General features: G+C 40.7%; 1 protein-coding gene and 1 pseudogene across 22 annotated transcripts in view; both read left to right on the plus strand.

Moving 5' to 3' along the window:
• Positions 1-21,670, plus strand: part of STIM1 (stromal interaction molecule 1) — a 238,607-nt gene that overhangs the window by 159,023 nt on the left and 57,914 nt on the right. For all 22 annotated transcript variants that reach the window (NR_168437.1, NR_168436.1, NR_168438.1 and 19 more), the window contains one exon: positions 10,247-10,361. Coding sequence is in view for 17 of the 22 variants with exons in the window: in NM_001382578.1 (NP_001369507.1) it covers positions 10,247-10,361 (115 nt within the window). In the remaining 5 variants the exon portion in view is untranslated. The remainder of the gene's footprint in view (positions 1-10,246; positions 10,362-21,670) is intronic.
• On the plus strand, positions 5,322-5,492 carry RPS29P20 (ribosomal protein S29 pseudogene 20; annotated as a pseudogene).

Genomic DNA, 21,670 nt, shown 5'->3' on the forward strand with positions numbered 1-21,670 from the left:
TGTATGATTCTTCTCTCTTCTTTGTTGATCTTTTCAAAAACCAGCTCCTGGATTCATTGATTTCTTTTTTTTTTTTTTTTTTTTTTTTTTTTTTTTGAGACAGAGTATCCCTTTGTCACCCAGGCTGGAGTGCAGTGGCATGATCTTGGCTCACTGCAAGCTCCTCCTCCCGGTTTCACGCCATTCTCCTGCCTCCGCCTCCCGAGTAGCTGGGACTACAGGCACCCGCCACCATGCCTGGCTAATTTTTTTGTATTTTTTTAGTAGAGACAGGGTTTCACCGTGTTAGCCAGGATGGTCTCGATCTCCTGACCTCGTGATCCGCCCGTGTTGGTTTCCCAAAGTGCTGGGATTACAGGCATCAGCCACCACGCCTGGCTGATTCATTGATTTTTTGAAGGGTTTTTTGTGTCTCTATCTCCTTCAGTTCTGCTGTGATCTTAGTTATTTCTTGTCTTCTGCTAGCTCTTGAATTTGTTTGCCATTTCTTCTCTAGTTCTTTTAATTGTGATGTTAGGGTGTCGATTTTAGATCTTTTTTGCTTTCTCTTGTGGGCATTTGGTGCTATAAATTTCCCTCTACACACTGTTTTAAATGTGTCCCAGAGATTCTGGTATGTTGTGTCTTTGTTCTCATTGGTTTCAAAGAACATCTTTATTTCTGCCTTCATTTCGTTATTTATCCAGTAGTCCTTCAGGAGCAGGTTGTTCAGTTCCCACGTAGTTGTGTGGTTTTGAGTGAACTTCTTAATCCTGAGTTCTAATTTGATTGCACTGTGGTCTGAGAGACAGTTTGTTGTGATTTCTGTTCTTTTACATTTGCTGACGAGTATTTTACTTCCAAGTATGTGGTCAATTTTAGAATAAGTGTGATGTGGTGCTGAGAAGAATGTATAGTCTGTTGATTTGGCGTGGAGAGTTCTGTAGATGTCTATTAGGTCTGCTTGGTCCAGAGCTGAGTTCAAGTCCTGGATATCCTTGTTAATTTTCTGTCTTGTTTATCTGTCTAATATTGACAGTGGGGTGTTAAAGTCTCCCATTATTATTGTGTGGGAGTCTAAGTCTCTTTGTAGGTCACTCAGGACTTGCTTTATGAATCTGGGTGCTCCTGTATTGGGTGCATATATATTTAGGATAGTTAGCTCTTCTTGTTGAATTGATCCCTTTACCATCATGTAATGGCCTTCTTTGTCTCTTTTGATCTTTGTTGGTTTAAAGTCTGTTTTATCAGAGACTAGGTTTGCAACCCCTGCTTTTTATTGCTTTCCATTAGCTTGGTGGATCTTCCTCTATCCCTTTATTTTGAGCCTATGTGTGTCTTTACACGTGAGATGGGTCTCCTGAATACAGCTACTGATGGGTCTTGACTCTTTATCCAATTTACCACTCTGTGTCTTTTAATTGGGGCATTTAGCCCATTTACATTTAAGGTTTATATTGTTAGGTGTGAATTTGATCCTGTCAATATGATGCTAGCTGGTTATTTTGCCCATTAATTGATGCAGTTTCTTCATAGCATCAATGGTCTTTACAATTTGGCATATTTTTGCAGTGGCTGGTACTGGTTGTCCTTTCCATGTTTAGTGCTTCCTTCAGGAGCTCTTGTAAGGCAGGCCTGGTGGTGACAAAATTTCTCAGCATTTGCTTGTCTGTAAAGGATTTTATTTCTCCTTCACTTATGAAGCTTAGTTTGGCTGGATATGAAATTCTGGGTTGAAAATTCTTTAAGAATGTTGAATATTGGCCCCCACTCTCTTCTGGCTTGTAGGGTTTCTGCCAAGAGATCCACTGTTAGTCTGATGGGCTTCCCTTTGTGGGTAACCCGACCTCTCTCTCTGGCTGCCCTTAACATTTTTTCCTTCATTTCCACCTTGGTGAATCTGACAATTATGTGTCTTGGGGTTGCTCTTCTCGAGGAGTATCTTTATGGTGTTCTGTGTATTTCCTGAATTTGAATGTTGGCCTGCCTTGCTAGGTTGGGGAAGTTCTCCTGGATAATATCCTGAAGAGTGTTTTCTAACTTGGTTGCATTCTCCCTGTCACTTTCAGGTACACCAATCAGACGTAGATTTGGTCTTTTCACATAGTCCCATATTTCTTGGAAGCTTTGTTCGTTTCTTTTTACTTTTTTCTCTCATCTTGTCTTCTTGCTTTATTTCATTAATTTGATCTTCAATCACTGATATCTTTTTTTCCGCTTGATCAAATCGGCTATTGAAGCTTGTGTATGCTTCATGAAGTTCTCGTACTGTGGTTTTCAGCTCCATCAGGTCATTTAAGCTCTTCTCTACACTGGTTATTTTAGTTAGCCATTTGTCTAACCTTTTTTCAAGGATTTTAGCTTCCTTGCAATGGGTTAGAACATGCTCCTTTAGGTCGGAGAAGTTTGTTATTACCGACCTTCTGAAGCCTACTTCTGTCAACTCGTTAAACTCATCCTCCCTCCAGTTTTGTTCCCTTGCTGGCGAGGAGTTGTGTTCCTTTGGAGGAGAAGAGGCGTTCCAGTTTTTGGAATTTTCAGCCTTTCTGTTCTGGTTTCTCCCCATCTTTGTGGTTTTATCTACCTTTGTTCTTTGATGTTGGTGACCTACAGATGGGGTTTTGGTGTGGATGTCCTTTTTGTTGATGTTGATGCTATTCCTTTCTGTTTGTTAATTTTCCTTCTAACAGACAGGCCCCTCAGCTGCATGTCTGTTGGAGTTGGCGGGAGGTCCACTCCAGACCCTGTTTGCCTGGGTATCACCAGTGGAGGCTGCAGAACAGCAAATGTTGCTGCCTGATCCTTCCTCTGGAAGCTTTGTCCCAGAGGGTCACCCGCCTGTATGAGGTGTCTGTCAGTCCCTACTGGGAGGTGTCTCCCAGTCAGGCTACACGGGTGTCAGGGACCCACTTGAGGAGGCAGTCTGTCCATTATCGGAGCTCAAACGCTGTGCTGGGACAACCACTGCTCTCTTCAGAGCTGTCAGGCAGGGACGTTTAAGTCTGCAGAAGCTGTCTGCTGCCTTTTGTTCAGATATGCCCTGCCCCCAGAGATGGAATCTAGAGAGGCAGTAGGCCTTGCTGAGGTGCAATGGGCTCCGCCCAGTTTGAGCTCCTTGCCACTTTATTTACACTGTGAGCATAGAACTGCCTACTCAAGCCTCAGCAATGGTGGATGCCCCTCCCCCCACCAAGCTCCAGTGTCCCGGGTCGATCTCAGACTGCTGTGCTAGCAGCAAGGAAGGCTCTGTGTGTGTGGGACCCGCCGAGCCAGGCACAGGAGGGAATCTCCTGGATCTGCCAGTTGCGAAGACCGTGGGAAAAGTGCGGTATTTGGGCAGCAGTGCACTGTTCCACCAGGTAGAGTCACTCACGGCTTCCCTTTGGCTAGGAAAGGGAAATCCCCTGACCCCTTGCACTTGCCAGGTAAGGCAATGCCCCACCCTGCTTTGGCTTGTCCTCCATGGGCTGCACCCACTGTCCAACCAGTCCCAATGAGATGAACCAGGTACCTCAGTTGGGAATGCAGAAATCACCCGTCTTCTGCATTGATCTCACTGGGAGCTGTAGACCGGAGCTGTTCCTATTTGGCCATCTTGGAAGTCCACTGGGTTCTGCCTTTCTGACTCTTAAGGCCTGATTGTTGCAGCTTCATTTCTTTATTTTCTAAAGAGGTCCCATTCAGCATAAGTACCTTCCTTCAGGTAGAGCTTCTATTTGCCAGTTCCTCTTTTGGCATCATCTTCTCTCTGACCTTGTTTTCTGACCCTACTTGTTTTTTGTGTGTTTTGTGGCACCAGTAGGGTCTGTATGTGAGTCCCTATGCAGATCTTCCTTATACTTTCTTTCTGAGTTTCTCTGCTCTCCACTTACCTCGGTGATCAGACTTGACTATAAAAATGAGTCTATTTCTTGTTGATTTCCTATAAGCAGCTGGTATCTCATGTCAGATGGTTTCCTGGAGTTATCTGATAATGGGAGAAAATCCCCTTCCTTGGAGATTTTGGTGTTTCTGCTCCCAAGGCTTGCTTGTGGTAACTGTCTTTCTAGTCTTAGATTAAGAGGTTCTAGGTTGGAGCCTATGAGGACCAAAGAAGGGTATATCTTGAAGAACCTGATTAATCAAACCTAAAAAATCATGAGGATAGCAGATTTGATCTCTAAAATATATCCCAATTCTGACAAATTCTCATCACTTCCACAGCTACCACCTTGTTTCAAACCACCATTAGCTCATGTTATTGCAATACCCACCTGAGTGATTTCTCTGTATCTGCCCTTTCCCTTTTATAGTCTACTTTTTAACACAGTATCCAGAGAAATCGTTTTAAAAATATAAATGTCTTCATGTTATACCTCTGTTCAAATCCCTGTAACAGCTCCCATCTCAGAGTGAAAAATCAAAGTCTTGATAATAGCCTAAAAAGTCAGCTGGGTGCATGGCTCACGCCTATAATCCCAGCACTTTGGGAGGCCGAGACAGGTGGATCACCTGAGGTCTGGAGTTCAAGACCAGCCTGACTAACATGGAGAAACCCCATCTCTATTAAAAAATACAAAATTGGCTGGGCGCGGTGGCTCACGCCTGTAATCCCAGCACTTTGGGAGGCCGAGGCGGGTGGATCATGAGGTCAGGAGATCGAGACCATCCTGGCTAACAAGGTGAAACCCCGTCTCTACTAAAAATACAAAAAAAAATTAGCCGGGCGCGGTGGCGGGCGCCTGTAGTCCCAGCTACTCGGGAGGCTGAGGCAGGATAATGGCGTGAACCCGGGAAGCGGAGCTTGCAGTGAGCCGAGATTGCGCCACTGCAGTCCGCAGTCCGGCCTGGGCGACAGAGCGAGACTCCGTCTCAAAAAAAAAAAAAAAAAAAAAAAAAAAACAAACAAAATTAGCCAGGAGTGGTGGTGCATGCCTGTAATCCCAGCTACTCGGGAGGCTGAGGCAGGAGAATTGCTTGAAACTGGGAGGTGGAGGTTGCGGTGAGCCAGGTTTGTGCCCCTGCACTCCAGCCTGGGCAATAAGAATGAAACTCTGTCTCAAAAAAAAAAAAAAAAAAAGGCATAAAAGGGGGATCTGTGTTCTGGAACCCTGTGGCTTCTTTGAGTTCATCTCCTGCTGGTTACCACCTTACTCATTTCTCTCCAACGATACTGGCCTTCTTGTTATTCCTTGAACATACCAAGTATATTCTCTTGCCTCAGGGACTTTGCTTCTGCCCTTCTCCATTCTTGGGATACTCTTCTCCCAGTTATTCTGCATGCCTTTCTCCCACACCTCTTTTAAATATTTGCTTTGAAGTCACCTTCTTATCTTTTGCCTTGTTGCACTCCTGAAGGCAAAATGGATCACAAGCAGCTCTGCTGGAGCCACCCACAAAAATCTGGCCAGAGTTCTCGCTCTTGTTGCATCTGCTCAAACCAGCATGGTCTGATCTGGAAATATAGCCTCAATATGTGCCTCCAGTGTTGCCATCAGTACGTGAAGGATATAGGTTTCATTAAATTGGACTAAGTGATCTTCCTTGAATGGATTATCCAAGGCATCCACACAATGAAAAATCATATTAGCTGTTTGTACATAAAATAAAAATGAAGAAAATGAAGTCAGCTTCTTAATGACACCTTGATTCCTCTCATTAAAATGACAAATTGTGAATACCACTACTCTTGGCATCTCCTATTCCTCTTCCCTGCTGTTTTTTTCTTTATTTAAATTATATTTTATTTAAAAACATTTTTAAAATTTTATTTTATTTGTAACTGATACATAACAGTTGTACATATTGGCCAGGCATGGTGGCTGACGCCTGTAATCCGAGCACTTTGGGAGGCTGAGGCAGGAGGATTGCTTGAGCTCAGGAGTTTGAGACCAGCTTGGGAAACATAGTGAGACACCGTGTGTACAAAAAATTTAAAAAAATAGCTCGGTACCGTGGTGCACACCCATAGTCCAAGTTACTTGGGAAGCTGAGGCAGGAGGATCACCCAGCCTGGGTGACAGAGCGAGACACTGTCTCAAAAACAACAACAACAAAAAACCCCACCAACCAACCAACCATCCAAAAAAATTGTACATATTTATAGGATACAGTGTGATGTTTTGATACATGTATACAATGTATAATGATCAAATTAGGGGGTAAAATTAGTATATCTGTCATCTCAAACATATATCATTTCTTTGTGGTGAACATTCAAAATCCTTTCTTCTAGCTATTTTGAAATATACACTATATTATTGTTAACTAAAATCACCCTACTGTGCAATGGAACACTAGAACTTATAAACTTACCCTCCCAACTGTAAATTTGTACCCACTGACCAATCTCTCCCCATCTCCCTGTCTACCCTTCCCAGATTCTGGTAACCACTATCCTACGTTCTACTTCTATGAGATCAGCTTTTTAAGATTCCATATATGAGTGAGAACATGTGGTATTTATTTTTTGTGCCTGGCTTATTTCACTTAGCATAATGTCCTCGAGGCACATCCATGTTGCCACAAATGACAGAATTTCATTCTTTTTTTCTTTATGGCTGAATGGTATGCTGTTGTGTAAATATACGACATTTTCTTTAAACATTCATTTGCTGATGGGCCCTGAGGTTGATTCTATATCTTGGCTATTGTGAATAGTGCTGCAATAAACATGGAAGTGAAGATGTCTCTTCAACATGCTGATTTCATTTCCTTTGGATGTGTACCGAATAGTGGGATTTCTGGATCATATGGTAGTTCTATTTTTCATGTTTTGAGGAACCTCCATACTGTTTTATATGGTGACTGTACTAATTTACACTGCCACCAACAGTGTGTAAGGGTTTCCCTTTCTCTATATCCTTGGCAGCATTTGTTATTTGTTATTTTTTTGGTAATAGCCATACTAACTGGGGTGAGATGATATCTCATTGTGGTTTTGATTTCCATTTCCCTGATGATTAGTGATATTGAGCATATTTTTCACATATCTTTTGGACTTTTTTTTTTCTTTTTTCTCTGAGACAAGGTCTCGCTCTGTCACCCAGGCTGGAGTACAGTGGCATGATCACAACTCACTACAACCTTGATCTCCCAGGCTCAAGTGATCCTCTGACCTCAGGCTCTAGCTTCAGCCTATAGCTGGGACCACAGGCATAAACCACCACACCTGGCTAATTTTTTTTTTTTAATTTTTTGCACAGGCGGAGTCTCCCTATGCTGCCCAGGCTGGTCTCAAAATCCTGATCTCAAGTGATCCTCCCACTTTCGCTTCCCAAAGTGCCGTGATTACAGGCATGAACCACTGTGCTCAGTCTTGTTTGTCTTCTTTTGAGAAATGTCTAGTTAGATCTTTCACCCATTTTTTAATCTGATTTTTTTTCTATTGAGTTGTTCGAGTTCCTTATATATTCTAGATGTTAACCGCTTGTCAGATGTATAATTTGCAGATGTTTTCTCCCATTCTGTAGGTTGTCTCTTCACTTTTCATTGTTTCCATTTTATTTTGATTTAATCCCATTTATCTATTTTTGTATTTTGTTGCCTATGGTGGTGGTGGTGGTGGTGGTTGTTGTTGTTGTTTTTTGGCAGTGCAGTGACGTGATATTAGCTCACTGCAGCCTCCACTTCCTGGGTTCAAGTGATTCTCCTGCTTCAGCCTCCCGAGTAACTGGGATTACAGGCATGTGCCACCATGCCCAGCTAATTTTTGTATTTTTAGTAGAGATGGGGTTTCGCCATGCTGGCCAGGCTGGTCTCCAACTCCCAGCTTCAGGCGATCCACCTGCCTTGGCCTCCCAAAGTGCTGGGATTACAGGCATGAGCCACCGTGCCCGGCCCCCAGTACAGTTTATTGAAGAGATTGTCCTTTCCTCAGTGTTTGTTCATGCATTTGTCCAAAATCAATTGGCTATACATATGTGGATTTTATTCCTGTGTTCTGTATTCTTTTCCATGTCTGTTTTTATGCCAGCACCATGCTGTTTCAGTTACTATTGTTTTGGAGAATATTTTAAAGTCAGATGGTGTGATTGCTCTAGCTTTGTTCTTTTTGCTCAAGATGGCTTTGGCTATTCAGGTTTCTTTTTGGTTCCATATGAATTTTAGGATTTTTTTTTCTATTTCTGTCAAGAATGTCACTGAAATTTAGATAGGGATTACATTGAATCCGTAGATTGCTTTGGGTAGTATGAATATTTTAACAATATTAATTCTTCCAACCCATGTACATAGGGTATCTTTCCATTTATTTGTGTCTTCTTCAATTTAGTTCATCAGTATTTTACAGTTTTCATTGTAGAGATCTTTTACCTCCTTGGTTAAATTTATTCTTAGGTATTTTATTATTTTTTGTAGCTATTGTAAATGGGATTTTTTTTAATTTCTTTTTCAGATTTGTTTACTAGCTCTAACAGTTTTTTGGTGGTGTCTGTAGGTTTTTCTAGATTTAATATCATGTTATTGGCTGGGCATGGTGGCTCACACTTGTAATTCCAGCACTTTGGGAAGCAGAGGTGGGTGGATCCCTTGAGATCAGGAGTTTGAGACCAGCCTGGGTAACGTGGTAAAATCCCGTCTCTACCAAAAATACAAAAAATTAGCCAGGTGGGGTGGCGTGCACACCTATAGTCCCAGCTACTTGGGAGGCAGAGATGGAAGGATCTCTTGAGGCCCAGGAGGTGGAGGTTGCAGTCAGCTGAGATCATGCCACTGCACTGCAGCCTGGGTGACAGAATAAGAACCTGTCTCAAAAAAAAAAAAAAAAAAAAAGAGAGAAGATCATGTTGTCTGCATGCAGGGGCAGTTTGACTTCCTTCTTTCCAATTTTGATGCCTTTCTTCTTTCCTTCCTTCCCTTCCTTCCCTTCCTTTCCTTTCTTTCCTCTTGCCTAATTGCTCTGGCTAGGACTTTCATTACTGTGTTGAATAATAGCGGTGAACGAAGGCATCCTTGTCTCGTTCCAGATTTTAGAAGAAAAGCTTTCAACTTTTCCCTGTTCAATATATTAGATGTGGGTTTGTCATATATGGCCTTTATTGTGTTGAGGTATATTCCTTCTATACCTAATTTGATTGCAGAGCTGGGGGCTGGAATCAACTGAAGTCTCAGTCACTCACATACCTGACTCCTGAACTTGAAGACTCAAACAGCTGGGGCTACTCACACATTTCTATCTCTACATAGACTTTCCACATGATATCTCCAGCAGGGTGGCTTCAGCGTAGCCAGGCTTCTTACATTTTGACTCAGGGCCCCTCAGGGCCCAAAAGAGAGAGAGCTAGGTGAAATTTATATTGCTTTTTCTAACCTAGACTTGGGTGTCGTGCAACATCACTGTTGCCACATTCTATTTGTTAGAAGATGAGTCACTAATGTCAGCCTATATTAAAGGGGAGGGAAATCCACCTTTAACGGGAGGATTATCAAACAATTTGTGGACATGTTTTAAAACCATTACAGTCGGCCGGGTATGGTGGCTCACACCTGTAATCCTAGCACTTTCGGAGACCGAGATGGGTGGATTGCCTGAGCTCAAGAGTTTGAGACCAGCCTGGGCAATGGTGAAACCCTATCTTTACTGAAATACAAAGAGTTAGCTGGGTCGGGTGGCACACACCTGTAATCCCAGCTACTCAGGAGGCTGAGACAAGAGAATTGCTTGAACTTCGGAGGTGGAGGTTGCAGTGAGCTGAAATTGCGCCACTGCACTCCAGCCTGGGTGACGAGCGAGACTCTGTCTCAAGACAAACAAACAAACAAACAAACAAACAAACAACCATCACAGTAAATTAACCTGTCTAAACCTAATGTAATTTGGGGCAAATGGCATTATCTTCAAGAGTATCACTGTTCTCATTTATAAAATAAGTGTGATAATTCATTGGTTGTGAAGATTTGATGAGAAAATATTGTGGAAATTCTTAGAATATTGCCTAATTTATAAGCAAGTACTCAAACATTTTAAATTCTTCCTTTTTTCTTTCCTCTTTTAGCTTATTGATTTTCAGTTAACTGTCATGTATTGTCTTTTCATAGTTAAAAAATATGAGGAAAGGATTTCTAATTTATATATATTTTTCAAGTGAGACATGTAACAAAGAGGAAGTGATAGTTTAGTTGGCAACTAAGACATGTGCATAAGGAAGGATACATGAGTGATGTGATACACTTGTATGTTGGGTAGATGGAATGTGTTATGGCTAGCTAGAGGCAGGTGACCTGTGTGGAGATCTTGACGGGCTGACTCCTAGGTATCTCTTGTGACTTGTGTACTTTTCCCTTGCAGTTCCTGAGGGAAGACCTCAATTACCATGACCCAACAGTGAAACACAGCACCTTCCATGGTGAGGATAAGCTCATCAGCGTGGAGGACCTGTGGAAGGCATGGAAGTCATCAGAAGGTAATAGGCAGCCTGGTCATCAATCCTAGTTGTGGGAAGGTTTAGAGAAGAGAGAAGCAGCAACTTGGCCTTAGAAGAACATGTATATAAAATGCTTAGTAAAGGGCAAATTATTGAAGTTATTCTACATATAGTCACTAAAAAAGACTGAATATAGTCACTCTGCTGGGCATGGGGGAAGGTTCTCCAGAGTTGGCGTTTTTCTTCATTAGGATACTTTTTGAATTCTATCCTATTCCTACCCCTTTCGTCACCCACCTAACCCTGGCATAGGAATCTTCCAGGTTCTGCTGCTTTATCTCCAGAGATAGGGAGCTTGCTGGTCTCTTGAGGCAGCCCCTTTCTTCTCTAGCTTCCCACTTAGTCCCAGCTCTGCTGAGTCCTAGACAATTCAAAGATTGGGTGAGGGTACAGACAGACTCTCTCCTCTTCTATACCATCTTGATTGAAAGCTTTTCTATACCATTTTGGTTGAAAGCTCCTGAGTCTTCTTTTTTCCAGGTTAAGTAGCCCTACTTCTTGAAGAAAACATTTTCTCAGCCTCCTTCTTGTCTTGATTTCCTGCCTATAAGCACTTTTGTTAATGTGTTTCTTAGATCCTATAGTTGGCTGCAGACCTCCAAGTGTGATTTTATCATCACGGAGTTGAGCAGGACTGTCACCTTCTTGTTTCTGAATCCTGTGCATCTGTTAGTGCAGTCTGATTAGATTCTGGTGCCTCACTAGTCATACCACTCTACTGACCCATGTTGAGCTTAATGAAAACTTCAGATTTCTGTAAAACTGCTAAACCATGATTACCATTTTTTTTTTCTGGAGCATTTCCTTCAGAGTTCTTAGTGAAAGAGCATGTCTAATTGTGCGAGACTTGACAGGGAAGGGGAAAACAGGGCTTTAGCTTCCTCTCCATTTATATCTGTGGCTAGGGCACAGATAACAATAAGACTAGAAGAAATCTCTCTTCCCAGGGTCTCTTAGGGCAGGTTCTGATGTAACAGGGGTTAAATGTAAGTAACCATCAGGATCCCTGGTTTTTATTTGAGGAACCTTAGGCCTAGATGTATAAAGTTACTTGTCATTATCATGCATTTAGTAGAGCCAGAACTTCAGCTGTAGGCCAATGCTTTTCAATACCCTCTTGGTTGAAAGCATTAGTCTAAGGTAGAGAAGACTAGTTTTGGTAGGAATGAGGCAGTTTCTATTTTTATTTACATTTTAATTTAGGCTTATAGAATTTGAGATCTGAAAGGGATAATCTATATTGTAGATGGGGAGCATTAAATGTGAAGCAGGAAGACCTGGATTCTAATCCTGATTATGGGATGGACAGGCTGATGCTTCCTGTTAACTCTATGTTTTATCAATGTAGAAGAAAAATTAGGCAGCTGTAGGAGAGAGCTTCCTGGATATCTTTGGAAGCTGAGTTCCTTCTGGGGGCTTTTCTTTAATAGCTCTCGAGCAACTCAGGCTATGTACTGATGAAGATTAAGCAGTGACATGAGCTTTGGAACTATACCAGCGGTGCCAGGAAAAAATCTTCCATTAGCATCATTTAGTTTTGGCTTTCTTATTTTTCTCTAATAACATGAGGACAGGGTGGCTGGTTTTTAAGAGTGGGTTTCAAAAGTAGGAACTTAGAATTAAAGATGGCAGGGAGAGCATTCTGGCCTTTTCTGAAAGCTCGCATAGAAGTATCTAGGAAAGGAAAGTGAGAGGGCAGAAACAGAGGGACTAAATCATAATGCTAGAAAACAGCTCCAGGCAGTTTTCTGGCAAGGACTTTATTTTTGGACTTAGCAACTATTTGGAACACTTCCAGTGTATTCTAAATTACAGGAAAATGAAAGACAATGGAGTGAGGTTTTTTGGGGGAGAGTCCTCATTAACCATGAGTGGAGAAAAGCATTTCAATGCAGTGATGTAGTTCACAGCTGAGAAATGATATATATGTACCCTATTAGAATTTGCTCACTGTGTGTTATACCTGGTGATTTGACAGACTAAAAGTGAGAATTTTTATATGTCCTCTTCCTCCCAATAATTTGCTTCATTATTCAGAAAAAGGCCCCTAATCTCTCCGGAGTGATGATTTCCAGAGCTACAAAAAGCATTTAATATTCTGGCACCGGCTCAAACTAGCTGTTCTGAGTTTAGCTAGATGATGTAGATGTCAGCAGTGGTCACTTGTGTTCAGAACATTAGCTGGCTAGTGTCAGTACCATCTGTGTGATTAGCATTGTTAACATTTTTCTGACTAATGTTGGGAGCCAGTCTTTTCTCTGTGTTATATAGATCTTAGCAGAAAAGTTTTCTAATCTCTATCTTAGCCAACTCTGGGCTTTAGGAATAAAAACAGCAGCAGCAACGACAAAAACTGAAAAACTACTTTAACATTTATATAGTATTTAATATGTGCTAGGCACTGTTTCTAAGTGTTTTACATATATTAACTTATTTCTCACAGAAACCATATGAAGTATAGATATTATGATTATACAGAGTTAGCACAGACTTCACAAGTTAAGTTCACAGCCCCCGATAAGATTACTCTCACTTCAGACATCAGCCATAATTTCAAGCTGTTCCCAGGTCACCTGCACTTCTGACCAGCTGACTACAATTCATGCATTACCATGGCCTTCTCAGGTTTGATAATTAACTAGGACTACTCAGAGAATTCAAGAAAGCCCTATACTTATGATTACAATTTTATTATAAAAGTTACAAATCAGGACCAGCCAAAAGAAGAAATTTATAGGGCAAGATATTGGAGGGTCCTGAATATGGCACTTTTGTGTCCTCTCCTTGTGGAATCAGGACACATCTCCATTTCCAGCACATCAGAGTGTTTGCCAGCCAGGAAACTCAACTGAACTTTGGTGTTCAGTGTTTTTCTTAGGGTTTCATTACATAGGCAAGTTTGATTGAATTCTTAGGCACATGATTGAACTTAATATCCAGCTCCCTTTTTCTCCATAAAGGTTGGATTGGTATCACCAGGCTCAGAGCCCCAATGTTCTAGTCACGTGGTTGATTTTTATAGTGACCACCCCCCATCCTGAGTCATCTTATCAGCCTGAACTCATGTGTGATCCAAGGGACCCACCAGGAATAATAAAGACATTCCTATCACTGGGAATATTCCAAAAGTTCAGTGGGTACCTCCCAGTAACCCAGGACAAAGATCTGCCAAATTCTTTATTATACAACATTGAATAATTAAGTATGGAAGAACTGGTAAAGCAGGGTTGAAGAAGGACCAAGAATGAGGGCCACTCCAGGAAATCCAGCAGCAGAGACTAGGGGATTCGCCTTTTCTTTTTTTTCTTTTTTCTTTTTTTTGAGACAGAGTCTCACTCTGTCACCTGGGCTGGAGTGCAGTGGCGCAATCTCAGCTCACTGCCACCTCCGCCTCCCAGGTTCAAGCGATTCTCCTGCCTCAGCCTCCCGAGTAGCTGGGACTACAGGTGTGTGCCAGTGCGCCCAGCTAATTTTTGTATTTTTAGTAGAGACGGGGTTTCACCGTGTTGGTTGGCCAGGATGGTCTCAATCTCTTGACCTCATTATCTGCCCACCTCGGCCTCCCAAAGTGCTGGGATTATAGGTGTGAACCACCGTGCCTGGGGAATTGGCCTTTTCTAATTAGCTACTTTCATATGACCCAGCTTTATTCATTTTTTATTTCTAAGTGTCTTTGCTCAAGAGTCAGATATGACAAGAGAAGAATCAGATTGGCGTAGTGTGGATTACAGATTTAAATAGGGTGTTGATGGTGGGAGTGTGTGTGTAGGGTTTGGAGAGAGCTGCAATTTCCAGCCCCTACAGGATCATATGAGGTTAGAGGAGTGGCAGTTCTTTAAAGGAAGGGTGGCTGGGTAGTTTTGTAGAATCCTTGAGAAATAGAATTACTGCTTGCATATTTGAGCCATTGGAAACAATAACAGTGTCATTTTTGGAGAAGAATGATGGGAGGCACTGACCTAAGGGAATTCTCCTCTAACCATGGCTTTCATTTTTTCTAAGCAAAGTGCATCGTTACTGTTTCTCTTCTCCTTTCCTGGACACTAGATTTTAAATGATGCTATCTGCCAAACAAAGTATATTTCTTCTTTTGAGACAGAGTCTCACTCTGTAGCCCAGGCTGGAGTTCAGTGGCATGATCTTTGCTCACTGCAGCCTCTGCCTCCTGGATTCAAGGCTTCTTTTGCCTCAGCCTCCCGAGTAGCTGGGATTACAAGTGTGCACCATCACGTCCAGCTAATTTTTGTATTTTTAACGGAGATGGGGTTTTACCATGTTGGCTAGGCTGGTCTTGAACTCCTGATCTCAAGTGATCTACCCGCCTCAGCCTCCTAAAATGCTGGGATTACAGGCGTGAGCCACTGTGCCTGGTGAATATTTCTTTTTTTTTCTTTCTTTTTCTTTTCTTTTTTTTTTTCGAGGTGGAGTCTTGCTCTGCTGCCCAGGCTGGAGTGCAGTGGAATGTTCTCGGCTCACTGCAACCTCTGCCTTCCAAGTTCAAGAGATTCTCCTGCGTCAGCCTCCCGAGTAGCTGGGATTACAGGCGTGAACCCCCACGCCCGGCTAATTTTTGTATTTTTAGTAGAGACGGGGTTTCACCATGTTGGACCAGGCTGGTCTCGAACTCCTGACTATAGGTGATCCGCCTGCCTCGGCCTTCCAAAGTTCTAGGATTACAGGCGTGAGCCACCACACTTGGCCAGTATTTCTTAAGTGGTAATTTCTTTCCTCGTTTTTATGAATCAAGACTTTGTACCTATCAATCTTTGATTCTATGAAATATGATTGCAGCTGAAAGCAAAAGAACCTGGTAGTCTAGTGTGCCTGTGGACTTTGCCATAGTAGTTGTTTCCAAAAGTTTTTGTTTCCAAAAGCCTGGTAGAAAATAAACATTACAGACTGGGCGTGGTGGCTCACGCCTGTAATCCCAGCACTTTGGGAGGCTGAGGCAGGCAGATCATGAGGTCAGGAGTTCAAGACCAGCCTGGCCAACATGGTGAAACCCCATCTCTACTAAAAATACAAAAAAATTAGCCAGGTGTGGTGGTGGGCACCTGTAATCCCAGCTGCTCGGGAGATTGAGGCAGGAGAATTGCTTGAAACTGGAAAGCAGAGGTTGCAGTGAGCCGAGATCACGCCATGGCACTCCAGCCTGGGCAACAAAGAGCGAAACTCCGTCTCAAAAAATAAATAAATAAATAAATAAAATAAAGTAAACATTACAGTAAGTAAGTTCACAGATCTCCTTTTCTGTCTGTGCTACTCTTTGGACGATAGAATTTCTCTGCAGGAAGCAGTGGAGTAGTACAGCAGGTTCCTGAATAACGTCACTTCATTCAACCTTGTTTGATTATAATGCTGTTGAAAATTAAAAAATTGCTTCCTTACTGGGACCATTGTCTCTTTGTGGAGTTTGCACATTTTCTCCATGTCTGCACGGGCTTTCTCCAGGTATATCAGTTTCCTCCCACATCCCGAAGATGTGCACTTTAGGTGAATTGGTGTGTCTAAATGGTCCCAATCTGAGTGAGGGAGAGGGAGAGAGAGGAGGGACGGAAGGAGGGTGGGCGGGGTGGGGGTGGGAGAGAGAGACAGAGAGAGACAGAGTGTGCGTGTGTATGTGGTGTGTGCGTATGTGTGCCCTGCAATGGAATGGCATCTGATTCAGGGTTGGTTACCACCTGGCACCCTGAGCTGCCGAGGATAGGCTCCAGCCACTCTCAACCTTGAACTGAAGTAAGCAGGTAAATAATTATCTTACTTGCTTTAATCTTCCTTAAATGTATGTACAGGTCACGTTTATTTCATTGTGTAATATTAGGAGTGTTTTGGTCTTTATTTGTAAGTTTGGTGATGTTTTTGTGACCAGAAATATGCCATAATAACTTCACCCTTGTTTATATCAATTAGCCTCTGGTAAAATTGGTTTTGTTATACATGCTTTTGCTTAAAGTTGCAGTTTCCAACAAACCATTGATGACATTAATTGAGGACTTACTGTACTGGAGAGCTAGGAAGCCTTTAGAAAGAACATCCAGGCCGGGTGCGGTGGCTCACGCCTGTAATCCTAGCACTTTTGAGAGGCTGAGGCGGGTGGATCACTTAAGGTCAGGAGTTCAAGACCTGCCTGGCCAACATGGTGAAACCCTGTCTCTATTAAAAATACAAAAATTAGCCAGGTGTGGTGGTGGGCATCTATAATCCCAGCTACTCGGGAGGCTGAGGCTGGAGAATTGTTTGAACCCAGGGTATGGAGGTTGCAGTAAGCTGAGATCGCAACTTCACTCCAGCCTGGGTGAAAGAGTGAAACTCCATCTCAAAAAAAAAAAAAAAAGAAAGAAAGAAAGAAAGCACCCAGCAGAGCTGCTGACCTCTCTGTTGACACAACACAGGGAGGCCAGGTGGCATCAGACTTCTGTCTAAACCATTTCAAAAGTCAGATCCGTATGAAAGAGCTGGCAGCCCATTTTTGCTTTTACATAAACCTAATGAGAGATATGTTTAGTATTTTCTTTTAGTCATTAAAAAAATTATTTTTCTAAGTTAACCATCAAGTCATTTAGTTAAAAACCTCAGACATTAGTTGTTTGCTGCTGTATTTTTTGGAAGAATCATACAGTTGGCTTTTTCTTTCCCTTACATTCTTTCAGATAATTTTTGTATACTGATAATAAAAACAACTAGCATCCATGTAGTGATTTAACTTTTATCACAGTCATTTTATATTTATTTTAAATAGACACTTGAGGATAAAAAGTTTTACTTGTATTCCCATTTAATAAATAAGAAAACTGAGTATCTCTCACCCGAGGGTTCTACCTGTTTAATATATCTTATGTGCATCTCCGATGATACTACCTTAGCTCAACTTCATTACCTTTTTAAAAAGATATTTATTGAGTTGCAATTGACATACAAAAAGGTGTAAATCTCTAAAGTTTACTATTTTTAAGATTTTGGTACATGTATACAATTGTGAAACCATCACTGCATTAAAGATGGTGAATATATTAATCACCCCTGAAAGTTTTCTCATAGTCCTTTGTAGTCTCTGCTCCCCTAGCAACCACTGGTCTGCTTTCTGCCATAGATTAGTTTGCATTTGCTACAGTTTTATGTAAATGGAGTTATATAATATGTACTTTTAAAAAATAATCTGGCCACTTTCACTCAGTGTAACTATTTTGAGGTTCACTTATGTTTTGCATGTGTAAATAGTTAACTTGTTTTTATTGCTTAGTAGTAGTCCATTGTAGAGACATACCACAATTTATTTACCTATTTAGCTACTGGGAGACATTGAGCTGCTTTTAGTTTTTGGCTATTACAAATAAAGCTGCTATGAACATTCACATGTAAGTCTGTATGGACATATATTTTCTTTTCTCTTAGGTAAATACCTAGGAGTGGAATGACTAGATGATATGGTAGGTATATGTTTTTAAGAAACTGTCAAACTGTTTTCTAAAATAGTTGTATTTTTTATATTCCCACCAGCAGTATATGACATTTTCAGTTCTTCCATATCTTTACAAACACTTGGTATGGTTGGTCTACTTAATTTTAGCCATTCTGATAGTATAATGATCGTGGTTTTATTTTGTATTTGCCTAATGACTAACAATGTTGAGCATCCTTTTATGTACATGTTTCCATTCATATCTCTTTTTTGGTAGAGTATCTGTTAAATCTTTTGTCTGCTTTTTATTGGGTTGTTTTTCTAAATTGAGTTTTGAGAATTCTTTATATATTCTCCATTTAAGTCTTTTATCAAATATATACTTTGCTAAGATTTTCTCCAGATCTGTGGCTTGTCCTATCAGTCTTTTAACAGTGTCTTTTGAAGAGCAGAAAGTTGTAATTTTGACGAAGTCCAGTTTATCAATTTGTTTTTTAACAGATCATGCTTTTGGTATTGTATCTAATAAATCTTTGCCTAACCCAGGATCACACAAAGATTTCTTTCTGTTTCTTTCTAGAAGTTTTGTAGTTTTATGTTTTACATTTAGGTCTATAATTCATTTTGTATTAATTTTTATATGTGGTGTGAAATATGGAACTTACTTCTTTATTGTGCTTACACGTGGTCCCAATTGTTCTAGAACCATTTTTAGAAATGCTGTTCTTTTCTTCATTGCGTTGCCACACCTCTCATCTTTTGTCAAAAATCAGTTGTTTAAGCTGAGTGCAGTAGCATACACTGTAGTCCCAGCTATTCAGGTGGCTGAGGTGGGGTGGGTGGGTGAAAACTGCTTGAGCCCAGGAGTTGGAGTCCAGCCAGGGCAGCATAGCAAGAACCTGTTTCTAAAAAACAAGCAAACAAAAATGCCTCAAGTTGTTTGTATAAGTGTGAGTTTATTTTTGGACTCTATTATGATACGCTGATCTATCTGTCTGTCTTTATGCCAGTACCATGCTATTTTGATTACCATAGAATTATAATAATTCTTTCAATCAGGTAGTGTTAGCCCTCCAACTTTGTTCTTTTTCAAGTTATTTTGGCTGTTTCAGGTCCTTGAATAAACCTGTCAATTTCTACAAAAAAGCCTGGTGGGATTTTGAATAGGATTGCATTGAATCTATAGATGAGTTTGAGAGAACTGACATCTTCAAAATACTGATGTTCTTTCAACCCATAAACAAAGTACATCTCTCCATTTATTTAAGAGATACACTTTCTCTGGGTACTATTTTTTGGTCTTTCACATTTAGAACTTTCACATCTTTTGTCAGATTTATCACTAAGTAGTTCATAGTTTTTTATGCTGTTGTATATGGTATTTTTTAAAATCATGGTAAAATACATATAACAAAATTTACTATGTAAATGGTATTTTAAAATAATTTCTGATTGTTGCTTATATACAGAAATGTAATTGATTTTTATATATTGATTTTATATTCTAGACATGAAGTCCTTGCCCATGCCTATGTCCTGAATGGTAATGCCTAGATTTTCTTCTAGGGTTTTTATGGTTTTAGGTCTAACGTTTAAGTCTTTAATCCATCTTGAATTGATTTTTGTATAAGGTGTAAGGAAGGGATCCAGTTTCGGCTTTCTACATATGGCTAGCCAGTTTTCCCAGCACCATTTATTAAATAGGGAATCCTTTCCCCATTGCTTGTTTTTCTCAGGTTTGTCAAAGATCAGATAGTTGTAGATATGTGGCGTTATTTCTGAGGGCTCTGTTCTGTTCCATTGATCTATATCTCTGTTTTGGTACCAGTACCATGCTATTTTGGTTACTGTAGCCTTGTAGTATAGTTTGAAGTCAGGTAGCGTGATGCCTCCGGCTTTGTTCTTTTGGCTTAGGATTGACTTGGCGATGCGGGCTCTTTTTTGGTTCCATATGAACTTTAAAGTAGTTTAAACTAAAAATGTATATTCTATGAAGTGCTAAACTCATTTAGTAGATTTCATCACATTTTTTTCCATAGACAGTCATGTTTATCTGCCAATAAAGACAGTTTTACTTCATTTCCAATCTGATGCTTTTTTTTTCTTTTTCTTGCCTGATTGCCTTGGATAGTATTTCTAGTACAGTGTTGAAGAGAAATGAGGTGAGCAGATATCCATGTTTCATTTCTAATCTTTTTTTTTTTTTGAGTCGGAGTCTCGCCCTGTCGCCTAGGCTGGAGTGCAGTGGCATGATCTTGGCTCACTGCAAGCTCCGCCTCCTGGGTTCACACCATTCTCCCGCCTCAGCCTCCCGAGTAGCTGGGACTACAGGTGCCCACCACTGCACCCAGCTAATTTTTTATTTTTATTTTTAGTAGAGACGGGGTTTCACCGTGTTAGCCAGGATGGTCTCGATCTCCTGACCTCGTGATCTGCCCGCCTCGGCCTCCCAAAGTGCCAGGATTACAGGCGTGAGCCACTGTGCCTGGCTGTTTCTGATCTTAGAAAACATTCAGTCTTTCACCATAAAATATAATGTTGGGCCAGATGCGGTGGCTTATGCCTGTAATCCCAGCACTTTGGGAGGCTGAGGTGGGTGGATCACGAGGTCAGGAGTTTGAGACCAGCCTGGCCAACATTGTGAAACCTCATCTCTACTAAAAATACAAAAATTAGCTGGTTGTGGTGGCGGGCGCCTGTAATCCCAGCTACTTGGGAGGCTGAGGCAGGAGAATCGCTTGAACCCAGGAGGCGGAGGTTGCAGTGAGCCAAGATTGTGCCACTGCACTCCAGTCTGGGCAACAGAGTGAGACACTGTCTCGGAAAAATAAATAAATAAAATAAAATAACAAAATTATATATATATATAATGTTGGCTGTGGGTTTTTTGTAGTGCCTCTCTACTCCTAGTTTGCTGAGAGCCTTTATCAGGCATAGATACTGGATTTTATCAAAGGAGTTTTCTGTGTCTATTGAGATGATTGCATGGTTTTTCTGTTTGTTTGTTAATTTGATAAATTACAGTGACTGAGTTTTGAGTGTAAAGCTAACCCTGCATTCTTGGGATAAATCCCCTTGGTCATAATGTATTATCCTTTCACTGTATTGTTGGATTAGATTTGCTAAAATTTTGTTTTAAATTTTTATGTCTTTGTTCATGAAGGATACTGGTTTGTAGCTTTCTTAAAATGTCTTTGTTTTTGGTATCAGGATAATGTTTGTCTCATAGGATGAATTATGAAGTATTCCTCAAGTTTTTTTGAAGAGTTCATGTAGAATTGGTATTATTTTTTCTTAAATATTTGATAGAATTCAGCAGTGAAGCTAACTGAGCTTAGAGTTTTCTTTGTGGGAAGGTTTTTAATTATAGTGTCAATTTCTTTAATAGGTATAAGGCTGTTCAGGTTATCTATTTCTTGAGTGAGCTTAGGTACTTTGTGTCTTTCAAGAAATTTGTCTATTTCACCTGTGTTGTCAAATTTACTGGTATATGTTAATAAAATTGCCTTATTTTAATGTCTGTAAAATCAGTAATAATGTCTCATTACTGATCTTAATAATTTGTGTCTTCTTTTCTTTACTGATTGGTCTTATTAGATCTTTGTTAATTTTACAGAACCAGTGTTTGGTTTTATTGATTTTTCTCTGGTTTCTATTTCATTGATTTCCACTTTGATCTGTATTATTTTCTTTCATCTGCTACTTTGGATATCATTTGCTCTTTTATTTTTTAGTTTGGTAAGGTGAAAACTAAGGTCACCAGTATGAGACCTTTCTTCTTTTCTAATACAGAATTTAGTGCTGTAAATCTCCCTTAACTACTGCTTTAGAGGCATGTCCCAAATTCTGGTGTATTGTGTTTTTTTTTTTTTTTCCTCTTTTCCAACTG

This window comes from Homo sapiens, chromosome 11 (genome assembly GCF_000001405.40).
Source record: "Homo sapiens chromosome 11, GRCh38.p14 Primary Assembly".
Lineage (NCBI taxonomy): Eukaryota > Metazoa > Chordata > Mammalia > Primates > Hominidae > Homo > Homo sapiens.